The sequence below is a fragment of the Homo sapiens genome, chromosome 22 (genome assembly GCF_000001405.40).
Source record: "Homo sapiens chromosome 22, GRCh38.p14 Primary Assembly".
Taxonomy (NCBI): Eukaryota; Metazoa; Chordata; class Mammalia; order Primates; family Hominidae; genus Homo; species Homo sapiens.
In genome coordinates, this window is record NC_000022.11 from 30,279,469 (window position 1) to 30,296,186 (window position 16,718).

At 57.6% G+C, this 16,718-nt stretch overlaps 2 protein-coding genes across 3 annotated transcripts in view, besides 3 other annotated features; both read right to left on the reverse strand.

Annotated features, from left to right (window-relative positions):
- Nucleotides 1-5,648: 5,648 nt before the first annotated feature.
- Nucleotides 5,649-10,037, reverse strand: CASTOR1 (cytosolic arginine sensor for mTORC1 subunit 1). Its single transcript, NM_001037666.3, has 9 exons — nt 9,917-10,037; nt 9,238-9,308; nt 7,905-8,092; nt 7,687-7,819; nt 7,357-7,480; nt 6,795-6,908; nt 6,548-6,630; nt 6,364-6,458; nt 5,649-6,220 (listed from the first exon to the last, which is right to left on the reverse strand). The coding sequence occupies exons 1-9, from the start codon at nt 10,027-10,029 to the stop codon at nt 6,152-6,154; spliced, it is 990 nt and encodes a 329-aa protein (NP_001032755.1). The 5' UTR covers nt 10,030-10,037; the 3' UTR covers nt 5,649-6,151.
- Nucleotides 9,695-9,774: a silencer, noted in NCBI's record as "silent region_13604". NCBI's record gives its function as "represses an Ori minimal core promoter by ATAC-STARR-seq in GM12878 lymphoblastoid cells {active_cell/tissue: GM12878}" and the evidence as "EXISTENCE:reporter gene assay evidence [ECO:0000049][PMID:35858748]".
- Nucleotides 9,975-10,414: a silencer, noted in NCBI's record as "silent region_13605". NCBI's record gives its function as "represses an Ori minimal core promoter by ATAC-STARR-seq in GM12878 lymphoblastoid cells {active_cell/tissue: GM12878}" and the evidence as "EXISTENCE:reporter gene assay evidence [ECO:0000049][PMID:35858748]".
- Nucleotides 11,295-11,354: an enhancer, noted in NCBI's record as "active region_18831". NCBI's record gives its function as "activates an Ori minimal core promoter by ATAC-STARR-seq in GM12878 lymphoblastoid cells {active_cell/tissue: GM12878}" and the evidence as "EXISTENCE:reporter gene assay evidence [ECO:0000049][PMID:35858748]".
- TBC1D10A (TBC1 domain family member 10A) overlaps nt 12,522-16,718 on the reverse strand; it is a 34,952-nt gene continuing 30,755 nt past the window's right edge. For both annotated transcript variants that reach the window (NM_031937.3, NM_001204240.2), the window contains exons 4-9: nt 16,269-16,375; nt 15,473-15,587; nt 15,328-15,393; nt 14,453-14,642; nt 14,183-14,337; nt 12,522-13,383 (exon numbers count right to left, since the gene is read on the reverse strand). In NM_031937.3, the coding sequence (NP_114143.1) occupies nt 12,907-13,383; nt 14,183-14,337; nt 14,453-14,642; nt 15,328-15,393; nt 15,473-15,587; nt 16,269-16,375 (1,110 nt within the window). In that variant the 3' untranslated portion in view covers nt 12,522-12,906. The remainder of the gene's footprint in view (nt 13,384-14,182; nt 14,338-14,452; nt 14,643-15,327; nt 15,394-15,472; nt 15,588-16,268; nt 16,376-16,718) is intronic.

Genomic DNA, 16,718 nt, shown 5'->3' on the forward strand with positions numbered 1-16,718 from the left:
AAGGCAGCTCTGGGTACCCCATAAGAGGCAGCCTGGCTCTGGAACCCCAGTGCCGGGGCTTGCCTGGGAAAGTGAGATGCAAACCGCGGCCATTGCCCAACACACCCACCCTGCCAGCCCTGGGTCAGGAAGGAGCCAGGGCCAGGCCTCGCGTGCCCGCCCACACATCCGTTGCCACCAGCAGCAGACACCCGGCCACCGACGCAGACAGCTGGGATTGCAAGGGATCTTGCAAAATCTCCCATCCCTCAGGGTTCAGCTAAATTGTCTCTTTGCCCAAGGAAACTCCCCAGGCTCCTGTGGGGACTCCTAACCTTCTTTTGGAATTCTGGTTCCGCACTGCCCAGCTGTGTGACACTGGGCAAGGCACTTCACCTCTCTGTGCTTCATGTCCACCTGGGTAAAATAGGGATAACAAGAGCATGCGTTGAATATACAGTCATGCACCGCATAACATTTGCATCAATGATGAACCACATATATGATGGTGGTCCTGCAAGATTATAATAGAGCTCAAAGGTTCCTGGCGTCTAGTGATGTCTGGATGATCCAACCTTGTATAGACCTAGGCTAGTGTGTTAGTGTGTGCGTGTTGGTCATAGTTTTGGTGGGTTTTTGTTTTTGTTTTTTGAGACAGGGTCTTGCTCTGTTGCCCAGGCTAGAGTGCAGTGGCGTAAACACAGTTCACTGCAGCCTTGACCTCCTGAGCCCAAGCAATCCTCCCACTCCCACCTCCTGAGTAGCTGGGAGCACAGGTGCGTACCACTACACCCAGCTAATTTTTATTTTTTGTAGAGACAGGGTCTTGCCATGTTGCCCATGCTGGTCTCGAATTCCTGGGCTCATGTAGTCCTTCTGCCTTGGCCTCCCAAAGTGCTAGGATTACAGGCATGACTCACTGTGCCCGGCTTGGTCTTAGTTTTTTTAACAAAAATGTTTAAAAAGTTGTAAAAAATTTAATTTTAAAATAGAAAAAAGCTTATGCAGTAAGGATATAAAGAAAATATTTTTGTTTAGCTGTACAATGTGTTTTAAGCTGAGTGTTAATACAAAAGATTTAAAAATTAAAAAAATAAAAGTTTACAAAGTAAAACGTTATAGTAAGTGAAGGTTCATTTATCATTGAAGAAAGAAAAATATTTTTAGTAAATTTAGTGTAGCCTAAGTATACAGTGTTTATCAAGTCTACAGTAATGTACGGTAACGTCCTAAGCCTTCACATTCACTCACACTCACTCACTGACTCACCCCGAGCAACTTCTAGTCTTGCAAGCTTTATTCATGGTAAATGTCCTATTTGGGTATTTTTTATTTTGTTTTGTTTTGTTTCCGAGATGGAGTCTCGCTCTGTCCCCCAGGCGGGAGTGCAGTGGTGCGATCTCAGCTCACTGCAACCTCCACCTTCTGGGTTCAAGCAATTGTCCTGCCTCAGCCTCCCGAGTAGCTAGGATTATAGGCGTGCACCACCATGCCTGGCTAATTTTTGTATTTTTAGTAGAGGTGGGGTTTCACCATGTTGACCAGGCTAGTCTCAAACTCCTGACCTTGTGATCTGCCCACCTCGGCCTCCCAAAGTGTTGGGATCACAGGCGTGAGCCACCACGCCTGGTGGGTGTACTGTTTTTATAATTAATTAATTGAGAGACAGAGTCTTGCTCTGTCACCCAGGCTGGAGTGCAGTGGCATGATCATAACTCACTGTAGCCTTCAACTCCTGGGATCAAGTGATCCTCCCTCCTCACAGCCTCTTGAGTAGCTGAGTAGCTAGGACTACAGGCACACACCACCATGCCCAGCTTTTTTTTTTTTTATTTTTTGAGACAGAGTCTCGCTCTGTCGCCCAGGCTGGAGTGCAGTGGCGTGATCTTGGCTCACTGCAAGCTCCGCCTCCCAGATTCACACCATTCTCCTGCCTCAGCCTCCCAAGTAGCTGGGACTACAGGTGCCCGCCACCACGCCTGGCTAATTTTTTTTTTTTTTTTTTTTTTTGTATTTTTACTACAGACGGGGTTTCACTATGTTAGCCAGAATGGTCTCGATCTCCTGACCTTGTGATCTGCCCGCCTTGGCCTCCCAAAGTGCTGGGATTACAGGCGTGAGCGACCGTGCCCGGCCCTAGCTTTTTTTCTTTTTTTTTTTAGACAGAGTCTTGTTCTGTTGCCCAGGCTGGGGTGCAGTGGTGCAATCTCGGCTCACTGCAAGCTCTGCCTCCCAGATTCACGCCATTCTCCTGCCTCAGTCTTCAGAGTAGCTAGGACTACAGGCGCGTGCCACCATGCCCAGCTAATTATTTTTGGTATTTTTAGTAGAGAAGGGGTTTCACCATGTTGGTCAGGATGGTCTCAATCTCTTGACCTCATGATCCACCCGCCTCAGCCTCCCAAACTGCTGGGATTACAGATGTGAGCCACATGCCCAGCGATTTTAAAATTATTATTATTATTATTGTACAGATGGGCTTTCGCCATGTTGTCCAGACTGGTCTCCACCTGGGTAAAACTCCTAGGCTCAAGTGATTCTCCTGCGTCAACCTCCCAAAGTGCTGGGGTTACAGGTGTGAGCCACCACACCTGGCTATGCTTTTTTTATACCGCATTTTTACTGTGCCTTGTCTATGTTTAGGTATGTAAGCACTCGCCATTGCATTATAACTGCCTACAGTATTCAGCACAGAAACATGCTGTACAGGTTTGCAGCCCAGGAGCAACAGGCTAGCCCAGCTGGCCCAGGTGTGTAGCAGGCTATCCCAACTAGGTTTGTGTGAGTACACTCTATGACGTTCATACGACAACCAAATCGCCTAATGATGCATTTCTCAGAATGTATCCCCTCTCCTTAAGCAACATGTAGACTGTATAGATGTAAATTAACCAAGCACAACACCTGCCCTCCCATACAGGCGAATGAGGGAAGTGGCTTCCCTGTGCTCGCTCAGTAAGCCAGCCGCAGACGGCTCAGCATCCCCGGCTACTCCTTTCTCCTGCCTCCTGCTCAGGCCCTTCCCACTGGGCAGGATCCTGGGTCCCAGAGGAAGATGAAGAACATGTACAGTTTCTTCTCACCTCTACAGAGAACCAAAAAGCCAGCTGTGGAACCATTTGGCAAGCATGCGACCCAGCAGCCTCACCCACCTGGGAGGGAGATGAGGACTTTAAATCCTAAATCTCTGCTCCAGTATTTCGGAGAGGGGAATTTAGGAGTTCACTTCCTCTGTCTAGGCATGAAGATGAGAAAGGGTGGAAGTAATCCGCTGACTCTGCCTGGCTGAGGTTTCCTCATCTCCCGTCCCCACCCACCCAGGCCCACATCCTCCCTGCAGATGCTGGGCACCAGGCTGGCAGTTGGAGGGCAGAGAGCCCCCTCCCTCTCCCTGAGGGACCGTGGGCAGGCCCCTCCCTGGGACCTGCTACCATCTTTATGAAGACAGGCACTTCGGCTCCCCAGCCTGTGCTGATGTGGACAGGTGACCAAGAGCTCCCAAGGTGAAGGATGTGGGCTGCATGCCAGTAAGTGCCCCCAACCTCGGTTATGAATGACCCACATGGAGCCCAACCCCGGACCCAGGCTGACCAGACCAGCTTCCTGTGCCCCAGGACTCTCTGGGGGCCTGGATGGGACTAGGAGGTAGCTCTGTGAGTCTCCACCTTAACCTGAGAGATCTCAAGGTCAGCCTGTCTGACCTGACACACAGCATCAGCTGCGTGTGAGATTCCGGGTCACGTTCCTGGAAGATGCCCCCCACTTTCTCATCTGTGTGTCCCTGGGGCACTTCCCAAGTTCTGTGCCCCTGAGCCCAGCTTGGTCTCATGATCTCCCCAGCACTCCTAGGAAGGTGGCCCTATCTGTAGCCTGCTGGAGGCGAAGAGCTGGCCCAGTGACCCCTAAGGACCCTATTATCTAGGAGCTAAAAATCCTCCACACAGACACACAGGTATGTGGCAGAGACACACACAGGCACACTGACCTCAGGCCTGTGTGAGTCAGAGCAGCCCGCAGTGGTGCACCTGTGGCCCCTCACCCAGGCCAGCCTCGTGGACAACCCCAAGAACTAGCGGAGGCCAGGTTGGGACTTGGTATGAGGGACCCAAGAGAGGCCTGAGGCCCTTGGTGAGCCGGGGTGACAGGAACACCAAACCAGGCAATGACTCATAGGCAGACAGACAGATGGTGAGACCCCCAGGGCTGGATATGGGGCCAGGAGCCCACTAGCTGTAGGTTAAACAGCCCCAAGAATCCTGACTCTGAAGCTCCCACCTCAAGCCCAGACATCCCCCAAGCCAGGGCCCACACCAGGCCCTCAAAAGAGAGGAACTGGGACTCCTACTCCCCCAACCCCCCTCCCCCAACAAAAGACAAACTCGGCCTGGTGTGGCACTTTGGGAGGCCAAGGCAGGCGGATCACTTGAGGTCAGGAGTCCAAGACCACCCTGGCCAATGTGGTGAAACCCTGTCTCTAGTAAAAACACAAAAATTAGCCTGGCATCGTGGCGGCCCCCTGTAATCCCAGCTATTCATGAGGTTGAGGCAGAAGAATCTCTTGAACCCGGGAGGTGGAGGTTGCAGTGAGCTGAGATTGTGCCACTGCACTCCAGCCTGGGAGACAGAGCGAGACTCCATTAAAAAAAAAAAAAAAAGTCAAACTCCAAAGAAATGCCCCCCTCCCCATGTTCCTGAAAGAGCTGTCTCCTAGGTCTCCATGCACATGGGGAAACTGAGGCTGAAGCGAAGGGCTGGCCCGGGGGGCCCCTGCTGCTCACTCACCAGGCTGTGCTGTGCTCTTGGCTCCTGTGATCTGTAGCCCGAGGCCCCAGACCCCTGGTCCCCAGGAGCAGGGCGGGCGCATTGCCAGAGGCCTGTCCCTGTTCTGGCTTTTCTGAGGAGCCACCACGACCTCTGAGTACACAGAAGTCACACCCTTCTTCCCTGCCTGAGCATGGGTGGGTCTGGGCTGAGGGAACCCGATAGTCTCCCTGGGTCATCTGTGGGGCCCCATCAGGCAATAGCAGGATCCCAGCCTCACCAAGCAGGGAGGCGGCCCCGGAGGACAGAGCAGGCTCCAGGTGGCCTCCAGGTCCCTGTCCCATCCTCCTGGCCCTGAACTTTAGGAATGACTCCAGGAGAGCCCTGGTGTTAAGAACTGACTGATCTCTTAGCCAACAAGAGGGACGGCCAGAACTCAGGCAGGACCCAGAAAAAAGCAGGCAGCGGGCTGGAAGAAAGAAAAGTGCTTTTGGGCCCTCTTTGGTGGGTTTCATAGCAGGCCGGCCATATCCACAATGACAGGGAAGGCTGGGAGACTTCCCCAGACAGGAGGGTCTGGGACTCTCTGCCAAGGTTCAGAACCCTCTGGGCTATTTGGAAGCTATTCTGAAATCTGGGAACACCCCAGATTTCAAAGGCAGGCATGGGAAGGGGAATCATGTGACCTTGGCTAAGTCATGTCACCTCTCAAAGCTTCGGTTCCTCGTCTGGAAAATGGTGATGGTTTACTGAGCTGTGGTGAGAGGTGAATGAGGCAAAGCCAGGTGAGCCCAGCCCCCAGCCAGCTACACAGAGAGAGACCAAGACCTCAGATGGAGGGGACCATGAGGTGGAGCCATGGCTGAGACTCAGACCCAGAGGACCCCCAAGGACCGTAGCCCAACCCAGTCACTACAAAGTCCTTTATTAACAAGTCAATAAAAACAGAAGAGAGAGAGATGTCAAAATACTTTCCTTGGAGGCCCCAGGAGGGAGAGGCACTGTCAGGACTCACCTGGCCAGGGAAGGCAACCCCACCAGAGGCAGAACGGAGGTCAGCGGGGCAGCTGGCCCAGGAAGCCTTTGGGGAATGGCTCAGGCCTCAGGCAGGGACTGTGCAAACGCCGAGGCTGCGCAGGGAGTGATGGGTTGGGGGCTTAAGCCCCGAGCACCGTGTTCCCCTGCATGGGCAGACACGCAGTCAGGCTAGCACCTGCCCACTCCACCTGTGAGTGTACACAGGTGTCCGCGTAAAAGCCGGTGCCTGCACGCAGCTTACATACAGAGAGCGGAACGAGGGTCCCCAGCAGAACAGGGGGCTCGTTCCAGAGCTTAAGGAAATAGCTTAGAGAAGTCTTTGGAAGCCTGGGTCGAGGGGAGAGCAGGGAGGCTGCTCTGTTGCCCATGGGCCTCAGGAAGCCAGGCCTTCCTGCCGCCGCTGGAGGACCTCGATGACGCTGCCGATACCGTCCTCGGGCACCTGAGGGCAGGTGGGCAGGAGGGAAGGGTCAAGGCGGAAGCTGGCCAGGGCCACCCCTGACTTCCTGGCCCAGCTGAGACTACCTCCTGCCGCCCACATTTCTGGGCCTCACTCTCCCCTCTGCCCCAGCCCTTGGTGCTCACCAGGGCGTGGTCGAAGTTGAAGGTGCTGATGTAGTAGGCAGAGATGTCAGCGGCAGCCAGGGGACCTGCAATCTGTGCCACGATGCCACATTCATCTGAGGGTGGTGGAGGAAGGCCACATGTGGCACATGCCGGTTGCTCCCCAGACACTCCCCAGCCCCCCAACACCGGGAACAGCCCTCACCAAAGCCCAGGGGCTGTCCACCGATGCGCACCATCCTCCACAGCTCCCCCGAGGAGCTGGTCAGCAGGAGGTCACTGGGGAACCTGGGGAGGGAGATGGGTGATGGGCAGGGCACCCCCATCCACCCCTGCCTGACCGTGAGCTCTGGGACAGGTACACCTGCTGACCTCAGAGTCTGATGCCCCACCTCCTCCCTGCCTGGGACTGGCTGGGGCCTGGGGCCCACCCGGGGTCAGGGGTCACCTACTTTTTCTGTGTTTCAGCATCCATGACAATGGAGATATAACCCTCGATGAGGGAGAAGGCAAAGAACGTGATGGAGCTGGGTTCAGGACTGCTAGAGGCTGCCTCCTTGGGGGTGCTGGGGAGGGATGGGAGGTTTAGGGGCTCTACCAGGCACCCAGCCTACTGCCCCTGCTCCCGATCAGCCTCCAGAACCCTGGGAAGGAGCTGGTATGGTGGCCTGGGCAGGCTCTGCCATATCTGCTACCCGCCCAAGGGTCCAGCCCTCTGGAAGGTGTGGGTGGGGATGGGGGAGGACAATGAACCCAGCCTGTGCCAAAAACAAAGGATTCCACGGTGAGAGGGCCAGACCAGGGCATGGCTCAGACGACCCCACTGGAAAGGGATCCAGCTTTGGGGCAAGAACCTTCCCCGAACATCAGTGAAGCACAAGTGAGCATCATGGGCTGCCAGGAACCCCAAGAGAGGACAAGCAAGAGGTGCAAAACTGATAGATGGGCGGAAAGTGGTGGGACAGAGTGTAGGGAACAGTGCTGTGAGGACAAAGACGAAGTTCCAAGGTCCACCTGTGCGAGTAGAAGAGGACATCTATGAGGGTGGTGGCGATGGCTGGAAGCGTCTCAGGGTCCAGTGTGAGGACACAGAAGCGGTTCTGTGGGCTCTGGATGGGATGCACCGTGGGGCTGGGCCCTGCTGGAGGACAGCAGCAGGTGAAAAGGTGTCCGTGGGCTGGGGCGCCCCCTGGTGGCTAGTCAGGGAGAGGCGTGGGCCAGGGGCAGGTCTTGCTATCCAGGAACTGGCCGGGGTCCTCCTGCCCCACTGGGGCCCAAAAGGGAAGGGACCCAGTGGGAAGAGGAGGCCCTGCCCAAGTCCAAGTGTCAGGGGGCGGCCCTCACCATGCTGAGTGCGGGGAAAGCCATTGCTGGAATCATCCCTCGTCACAGGCACAGGCTCTCCGCCCACCTCGCGGTAAATGTCGAACTCCTGGGCCAGCGTGTGGATCACCACGGACAGGTCCTGCTCCCGCACCTGGGCCACAGCAGATGGCACATCACATGGGCTCCCAGGTACCTATATCCACCCTGCTCTGCATCAGCACCAGCAGGAAACTCACCAGGATGAAGTCCGTCTGGTAAGTGGACAGCATCAGCACAGACACGTGGTGCTCGGCCAGTGGCGCGATGACCGAACGGGCGATCTTGGTGACCCCAGCAGCCTGCACTGCCGCACCGCTGTGAGACGACACGTTCAGCACCAGCCATGTGGCCTCAGCTACTTGCAGGAACTCAGATGGGGGCAGCTCTGTGGGCAGGGGACATGTCAGGTCAGGGTCTACAAGGCTGGCCCCTGCCCCTCTCTGAGCCTCAGTTTCCCTTTCTGTGCCTTGGAGGGCTCCATCAAGGTAAGGGCAGGTCTGGAGGCTGGGGCTCCTGAAGTCCCTATGTGTGCAAAGACTGAGAAAGGCTTCAAGTGCTGGCCTGGTGGCATTGAAACTTCCCACTTAAGATCAGAGGTCCAGATTCAGACAGACCTGGGTTCAAATCCCAGCTTTGTTAATTTGTCTTATGACCTGGGGTGGGTGATTTGAGTCTCAGTTTCCTCATCTGTAAAATGGGACGACAATATCTACCTCACTACGGTGTCTTCTGTGGGTTAGCAGAAGCTTTGTACCACATGGCACCACCAGGGGGCATTCGCAGATCAGGTTGGCTGGGGGATTGCCTTCCCCTTTTGCAGACCCAGACTTCTGAAGTAAAAACAGGGAAACTAAGGCCTGCAGTGGAGCATGGGGACAGGCTAAGCTCCAGCTAGCTGGCCTGAGACTCCAAGCCTGTGAGGATGGGCAGGGCCAGCAGCAGGAGGAGGAGCTAGGCGTCAGCTCCAGGCCCCAGGGAGGGCCCAGGCTGGCGTCCAGTCCTGAGCTGGGGCCAGGGCCTGGGTGGCTGCTATTCACCCCAGCACAGCCAGGAGGCCTCCAGGACCCTCCCCTGAGATGGCTGCCTGCTCCTGCATTCCTTCCCTCAGACTCCTGGAGTTTCCAGACCAGCAGGGGAGGAGGTGACCCAAACCAGAGAGTAAGACCAGGAGGAAATAATACCCAGGGATTTCTAACAGCAGCACTTGACTGGAATCATAACAGAGGCCCTTCTGCAGGCCTAAGACTGCTGAGTGCCCCTCAGCGGTTTTAAGTTTATAAAGGCCTCATGGGACCCTATGTATCAGAACCATAACTATACCCATTTTACATAAGAGAAAACAGCTCAGAGAGGGAAAGTGATTTGCTCAAGGGCACACAGCCAGGGAGTGGTGGAGTAGGATTCGAACCCCGACCCATCTGCTTTTAAGGCTTAAGCTCTTGGGACGGATCCCAGCAACTGGTGAGAACCCTACAGAAGGGGAGCACGACAAGCCCCTCCCGTACTCCCGTTCCCCAGACCAACCCCCACCTTTAAAGCCCTCCTCGTCCACCATAAGCGTGTAATCCTCAGGGGTCTCCGTCAGGCTGAAGAACTTGCACCTGGTTGGGGGTGGGGAGCATCTTCAGCTTGGTGTGGAGAACTAGGGGTCGGGAGTGGATTTCTCTCCATCTGCCCCGAGACACCCCCGCGACCCTGGGCCGGGCGCCTTCTTGCCCTCTCGGCCTTTAATTTCCAGGCCAATGGGATGTTAGCCCCATCTCGGGGGTTGGGGGCTACTTTCCGGCCTCCCGACCTCTCCAGGAACCCTCCACCCCTCCACTCCTGGAGGGAGGAGAGGTTCACACCCGCGGCGACAGCCCCAGGGGCGTCGGACCTTGGACCCCCTAGTCCAGCCCCTCTGACATGAAGGGAGGCGTCCTGGAAGGAGCTCCCCGCAGTGACCAGGTAGGAATGCCCCCATTTGACACTACTGAGTTAAGCATTGCCCATCCCAGGCTGTTTGCGCTTTGCCCCTGGGAGGGGGCCTCACGGGGCCGGATAGGCGGCGGTCCCCCAGGCCGGATGGCGGCCGGACGGGGAGAGTCCTCCCCACCCGCTCCCGCCCGCCTGCCTGCCTGCCTTACGGCGATCCTAATCCTCCGACCCTGGCCCGGAGCGAGAGCAGAGCCCCCAGCCCCTATCTGCGCTCCCGAACCCGGGCGCGCACCGGCTGCGGCGGGGCAGGAAGAGCAGCTTGATGAGCGGGTGGGTGTAGAGCCAGAGACCGGGACGGGCGACGCTCAGCACCCGCACCCGGTGTTCTAGGATGTGCAGCTCCATCGCGGCTCGCGCGGACCCGACCCCGCCGCCAACTAGACCCAGGCCGCACGGGAGGCGGGGCGGCGGGGGTGGTGCCCGAGCCTTAAAGGAGCCGCTGCGCTGCCGCGTCCACGCCGCCCGCTGCGAGGCTGACCCGCCCAGCCAGGCGCGGCGTCCGGCTCCTTGACGGCCACGCCCCGCGGGAAGAGAAGCCTATTGGGTGGTCACGCCTCCTCCTAACGCCAGAACCTCATCCCGCTTTCCAGCCAGCCCACCGAGACCGCCCCGAACGGCTCCGCCTTTTTTAGTACTGGCTCGGGGATAGACCCCACCCCGTCTGACTCCTCCAGGCCCCGCCCCTGACGCGCCCCCTCCCTGGGCTCCGCCCTTTCCGCGGAAAGCCAGCTGCGCAGCCGGTGGGAGCATCCCGGAGGGGACGTTTCTGTCCTTCTGGCACACACGTGGGTTTCATGATTGAAGTCCTTGAGACAGAAGGGACACGAAACAAACTGGAGCTCGGCTAGGACCAGAACGCTGCCCCCAAATCCCCGGAGCAATGAGAGGCACAGGTCTGCTGTGCAGCGCTGTCCCCCGGGCGCCTTTCGCTCTCCTGCCTCTCATGGCTGCAGGGGGCAGGGCCGCCAACACAGGATTGCGATTGATACCTACCCTTCCCCGCTTGCGAGGGGGCTGACAAATTGAAACCTGGCCTGGTAGCCCCACTTGTTCCTTTCATCCAACTTTCAAAATAGAAGGCTCCTCACCAGGGGCACACAGAGGTAGAATCCTAGCCACCTCTGCCTGAGCGACATACTTTGGGTTAGGGGGCTGCAGGTGGCCAAGGCCTAAGGCTTGAGGTCCCTCGATACCAACAAAACCCGGAAGTGCTTGAGCCAGTAATGCCCAGTGCTCAGACTTTGGTGGGGGAGGCCCTTGCAGCTGAGGTTCAGTGAGTACTCAGACCTCAAGCCTGAAACTTGAGCCCCAAAGCCTGCAGCCCTTAGCTAGCCTGTGCACATCTAAACTTGCTTCAGGTTCAAGGAGGCCCCCGGCACTGGCAGACACCCCAGATCTTATCAGGCCTTCACAGGTCTAAGACCCCCCCAAGGCTAAGCAGGCATCAGCATGTCCATGTTGGCTCCATGCAGGGCTGAGAATGCTCCAGGGGACCCTTGCCTGGCCTGAGCACCCTGAGGCCTCAGATGTGAGGCTTTGAACCAAGTAGACTAAAGCAGGCCTCAGGCCTGATTGGGACCCAGCAGGCCTAAGCAGGCCCTCTGCCTGCTCTGGAGCCCCCACCATAGGCAGATGGAAGCCAAGCTAAGCCTCCTCCCTGGACTCTCGGGCTTGACACATTCCTGTGAAACACTATGTAGCCACCACATCCTGGCCTATCCCCTGGAGGACTAGGGGAAGGAGGAGCTTCTCAAAGGCTGAGCCCATCTCATCAATGGCAGGTGCAGACAGAGTGGGAAACCATGGGGCTGAGGGGAAGGAGGCAGGAAGTGGAGTGGCCTACCCTGATAGTCTCTTGAAACCCTTCACCTCCCTAGGCCTCAGTATCCCCAGCTGTACCAGGACAGGATGTTCCAGGCCCAGGCGAAGGCTGAAAGCTCCCAGGGAGGCTCTGCTCCTCCCTCTCCTGCCCCCTCCCGCTATGGCCTGGCCTGGCCCAGCTTGGTCATCTGCCAGGAATAGCGCTATTGTTTGACTGGAAAAGCTGCTTCCTCAGCAGAAGGGGGGCCTCTCCCAGGGACACCCTGTCCTTGCCCTCACCAGTCATCAGGTTGTGACCGCAGTGCCTGCCTGGGCCCTCAAGGGCAGAGTCAGGTCTCCTGGAGCCCTGGTCAGGAGAGGAAGCTGAGTGAGGGGCTCTTGGTGCAAATCCGGCTGAGGCTTTCCCATTCAGCTCCTGTTTCCTCGTCTGTTAAATGGGGCTAATGGAGCCTACTTGACCAGTCCAGCCTGGCACTTGGCAGTAAATCGAAGGCGGCATTTTATCAAAGAACCACAATTCGCCCCCCTCCCTGAGGGCCTGGGCTGAGCCTGTGAGGACATTCGTGGTGCTCCACTCCGGGCCCCGTCCCTGACCCCAACCCAGAATCAGCTCTCAGAAACTTACTGGAGCCTGAGGTAGCATCCAGGCCAGGACTTGAAGGAGGAAGACCCTGAAACCTCCTCCTTAGGAGTCCCTGCCCCCTTGGTGGGTGGGTGAGGACCAAGGCCTAGGGAGCACGCCCTGCTCTGCCCAGCACTGAGCTCCAGCCCTGGTGTCCCTCATCTGTGGCAGAAGGTAGACATAAGGCAGTGGGGATGGGGTGAGTGAAAATGGGGGTTAAGAATGGGGGCTGACCAGGGACTTGGCATGTCCTCTGGCAAAGGTACCTCTCAGAGAGGCTCTGGTGCTGGGCTGGGGCCCAGGAGAAGGGGCTCTGTAGGGCAAAGAGAAGAGATGCTGAGCACCAAGGTGACCAAGGTGGTACCCCCTTCCCAGCCCCTAGCTGTACACGAGCTCTCTATACAAGGCTGTTTATTTCTGTACAAAACCATGTTTCTATTTTACACAAAGAACACCCCACCCTTTCCCCTCACACCAGCACCCTAACCCTGGGGAGCATCCCCCAGGAGGAGGGGGCTGAAGGAGGCCCCACCCCCCAGGCCCTAGCTTCTGCCTGCCCTGGCTGGGCCAGCCTGAGTGCCACTGTAAAGAAAATAAATAAGGAGGCTCAGGCAGAATCTGTGTTGGACCAGGCAGAATCTGTGTTGGACCAGCCAGACTCCAGCCCAGCCCAGTGGCCAGGCAGCTTGGCCCTCAGAGGGTGGGCAGGATGTGGAATGTCAGTTCATGAACCGTGTAGTTATATGGAGACCCCGCCCTGGAGGCCTTAGCTGCCAGGGTTACAAGTAGGTGTCCTCACTCTCTTGGGACGTCAAGCTCTCCTGGGAGCGGTGGTGGGCTGAGACCTGGGGAGCCAAATCCTGAGGGGCTGAGTCCTTGGGGGCTGAGTCCTTCGGGGGCACATGCTGTGGGGGACATGCATCTCCTGCAGCGGCCACCACCATGGCTTGATTTGGGGCTGGGGGCTTCTCCAGCTGCCCTCTCCCCTTCATCTGTTTCCGCTGCTCCTTCTGGGCCTGCTTGGGTGGCTTGGGCTTGGCTTTGGAGCCAGGGAGGGGGGCATCTAGGGGCAGGCGGATGGATGGTGAAGGTTGTAGGGCAGGCCGGGGACCAGGTTCTGCATCCAAGATAGCCTTGGCACCATGCAGCCTGGGCGGGGAGCGGCACTGCAGCTCACCCCGGGTCTCCTGCCAGCGCCGCAGCTGAATGAGGTGTTCGCGCTCAATCTGGCGCTCTGTCACGGGCAACTCCACCACCTGCAGGGGCAGTGACACAGGCAAGTGGACACCAAGAAGAAGGACCTTCCCCTTCTGCCTCCCAGCCTGGGCCCCCAGTCTTCCTCAGCATCCCCCAGCCTTGGCCACTAAACACTGACCCCAGGAAGGATGAGGGTCTAGTCCCAAGCTGCAGTCACGAGCCCCACAGCTGAGTGCCAGGTGAGCTGGACACTTGAGACCCACCGCCTCAGAGGATAAAGCTGCCCACAGCTTCACGAGTCCACCTGCCTGACTATGGGGCTAAAGGGGTAAGACCCAGACAGACAAAAACCTGCTCTCTGCCAACCTGTCACCCACCGCTGCCCAGGGCAGCCTGGCTGCTTAGGCTCAAATTCCAGCTCCACCTGGGTGGGTGACTTTAAGGGGAGTTGCTTAGTGATTCTGCCTCTGTGAGCCTCCATTTCCTCATGTGTAAAAGCTGGTCACGCATGTTCCACCTAATTGCCCCTGAGAGACAAGTATCCATAAAGAAAGAACAAAGAGAAATAAGAGCCAAGGCTGCGAATGGGGTACCAGGGAGGAAGACGGGGCCGTGGGTCAACATTCTTCTTCATTCCCAAGCGGCTCGGATCCAGAAGGCCCTGCAGAGCCAAGCCTCTCTGTGCCCCATGCTCTTCACCAGACAGAAGGATGAGGTCCACCCACATGTTCTGTGTTGCCTAGCAATGGTCCTGGCATAGGATCCACCCTCAGGGGCTGAGGGTTAGCGGGACCCCCTTCAAAGGACCCCCACCTGTCTTCCTCCCTCCCCATGATAAGGGGCAGGCATGGGCTGTACCTCCTGGACCAGAAAGGCCTCCTGCATGATCTTGGGGCTGAGGCTCCGCAGTCGCTCGATGGTCTCGTACTGGCCCTGGCAGGCTTTGACCTTCTCAGGGGAGCCCAGCGCGTGCTTCAGCAGCACCAGCCCCACCCGGAAGATGATCTTGACCCCTGCATGGGGGATGGGCAGTAAGTACAAGGAAGCTTTTTGGGGTTTCTCTGCAAAGAGAGGCCCCACTGTGGGCTGCTGGGGACAGGGGTGCTCCCCCCAAGCCCAGCCCAGTACCTTCACAGAAGAACATGTCCCAGACACGCAGCACAGAGCTCCAGGGCAAGGTTCGGGAGAAGGCGCACATGAACCATTCTGTCATATAGAGGAGCGGGTCGATCTTCTGACGGCTGAGGTGCTTGTGGGCCACCGGCGACACCTTCTGCAACAGCGAGAAAAGGATCTCCCCGTCCAGCTGGATCGCCTCCTAGGGAGACATCGAGGCCACGGGACCATGACCGTGGGCTGCAGGAGCCAGGGCAGAGACTACACCCCAGCACCCAGCACCCAGCACCCAGCAGGCTCAGGCAGCTACCGCCTGCAGGGTGTCTGCCTCTGCCAGGTGCTAGGATACAATGATGAGCAAAGCGGAGCCAGCTGGTCCCCTGGAGGGAGCTTATCCTGAGAAGGGCACATGAGCAAAAGAGGCTAGGGGAGGGGGAGGAGGCTGAATGCCCCTAACAAGGCTGGAGCAGGACTGCTCTCAAGCATGTGCTGGAGGGTCTCGCCTGTCAGGGTCAAGGAAGCTCCCTGAGGGCTAAAAGCTGAAGGACAAGAGAAGTTTTTAGGGGACAGCACGGGGAAGGGAGCTTCCAAGCAGATTTTAGCCTAGGACAAGGCCAAGGCGAAGGGAGGGAAGAACTTGGTGCCCTGGAAGAACTTCAATTCTGCAAAGTGACCAGAGCAGCTAGAGGCTGAGATGAAAGTCAGTGTAGAAGGGATAACATTGTAACCCAGGAGACCTAACCCTGGCAGGCCTTGGGACTTCAGCCTCAAGGCAACAGAAGGCCGGAAAGTTTTTAACCTGGGCAGGAGTTACTATGAGAGAAGGGCCTGGAGGGGCCACAGAGGGTGTCCAGCCCAGGGCAAGTCCCAGGCCAGGCGACACTCACCAGTTTCTCGCTGTAGTAGCCGGGCAGGTACTTCTCACAGATCTGTACCAGGCACCAGAAGGCTTGCTGTGGGCAAGAGAGATGTGAGGCCTTGCCGTTGGGGGTTCCCCACCCACCCCCCTGCCTGCCCGGGGCCTGGTGGTACCTCAGCAGGCATATGCATGAGCAAGACAGCGGCAATGGGCGCCTGGGCCTGGCAGTAGCCCTCCTCGGGCCGGTACAGCGTGTAGGCCTTCAGCACACGGAATAGGTCCTGCTGGCTGTGGAGAGGCCGGGCAGAGCAGTGATGACCGGGGTGACTCTGCTACCCACGGCCTTCACCTATGCCCCAGTGGACCAGCCAGCCTCAGAATCTGCCCCTCCCTTGAGAGGGAAGGTGATCTGCTTGTGGTCACCAAGGGGTCAGTCTCCTACTGGAGCACATGGACTCTCACGTGCCCAGAAGGAAGGAGGTGGGGAAGGTCTCCCCCATGACAGGGGAGGGCAGAGGCTCAAAGAGAAAACAGGGAGCAGGGCCAGGGCGGGATGTAAAGCTATGTCAGGGCTGGAAGTAGGGGCCCCTCACTCAGCAGCTATGGCCCCTTGGCCGGGCCAGCTTTGTCCCTGCATCTGTCTTGGTCCCCTTGCCTGCCCTATCTCTCCCCTGCATACCCTCCACTCACCCAATTCCCTCTATCCCTCTTTCTCGCCAACAAAACCTGTTTCCGGAAGAGGGCCAGGCTGGACAAGCTCTAGCACTCTGGAGTCAATGAGGAAAGCCCCCCCAGAGGTAAGAGGAGATGCTGAGAACACACATCAGACTCAAACCAAAAAAAGGGAAATGCTAAGAGTGGAGTTGGGGGCACCGAGCTTCTAAAGCCCTGAACTCACTGTACCTCCTTAGACCCCTTAGAGACAGGCCCTAGAGCCACCTCCCACCTCATGAGGCCCAGCCTGCTCACCCGTGGCCCCCCCGGGACACAAACATCTCATGGAATGGGAACTGCCGGTGCAGGTCACGCTCAATCACGTCCAGCCACTTGGGGTCCCCAGGGGACATGTCCAGCTCCTAGAAGCAAGGGCACAAATTAGGGGCTGGGGAGGATGGAGGTGGGCTTTGCTGACAGGACACGGCTGCCCAGGGATTAGGGGAGGGGGCCCTCCACCAGGGGCAGTGCCCACCCAAGCCCATCACAGACTGGGCCTTCCCAAGGACAGGAAGAGAAGCTCAGGTAAGGAATGCCTGGGCAGGGGCAAAGGGGCAAGGAGGGAAGGGCCCTGGAAACCTTAAACCTGGCTCTAGGAAGACCGATGAGGGCAAGAGTGTCCACTCCAGCTGCGGCTGGAAGGACCTCTAGACATTTCATTCGGGAGTCAGATACATTATGTCACATCCTTAAGACAGAAGGCTG

Bases quoted from the DNA above. Each gene is read 5' to 3' on its own strand.
- CASTOR1 (NM_001037666.3), bottom strand. From the start codon at position 10,029: ATGGAGCTGCACATCCTAGAACACCGGGTGCGGGTGCTGAGCGTCGCC. The intron at 6,459-6,547 runs GTGAGGGCTGTT...CACCACCCTCAG, and splicing joins TGGACAGCCCCTGGGCTTTG to ATGAATGTGGCATCGTGGCA. The intron at 6,221-6,363 runs GTGAGCACCAAG...ACCTGCCCTCAG, and splicing joins TCAACTTCGACCACGCCCTG to GTGCCCGAGGACGGTATCGG.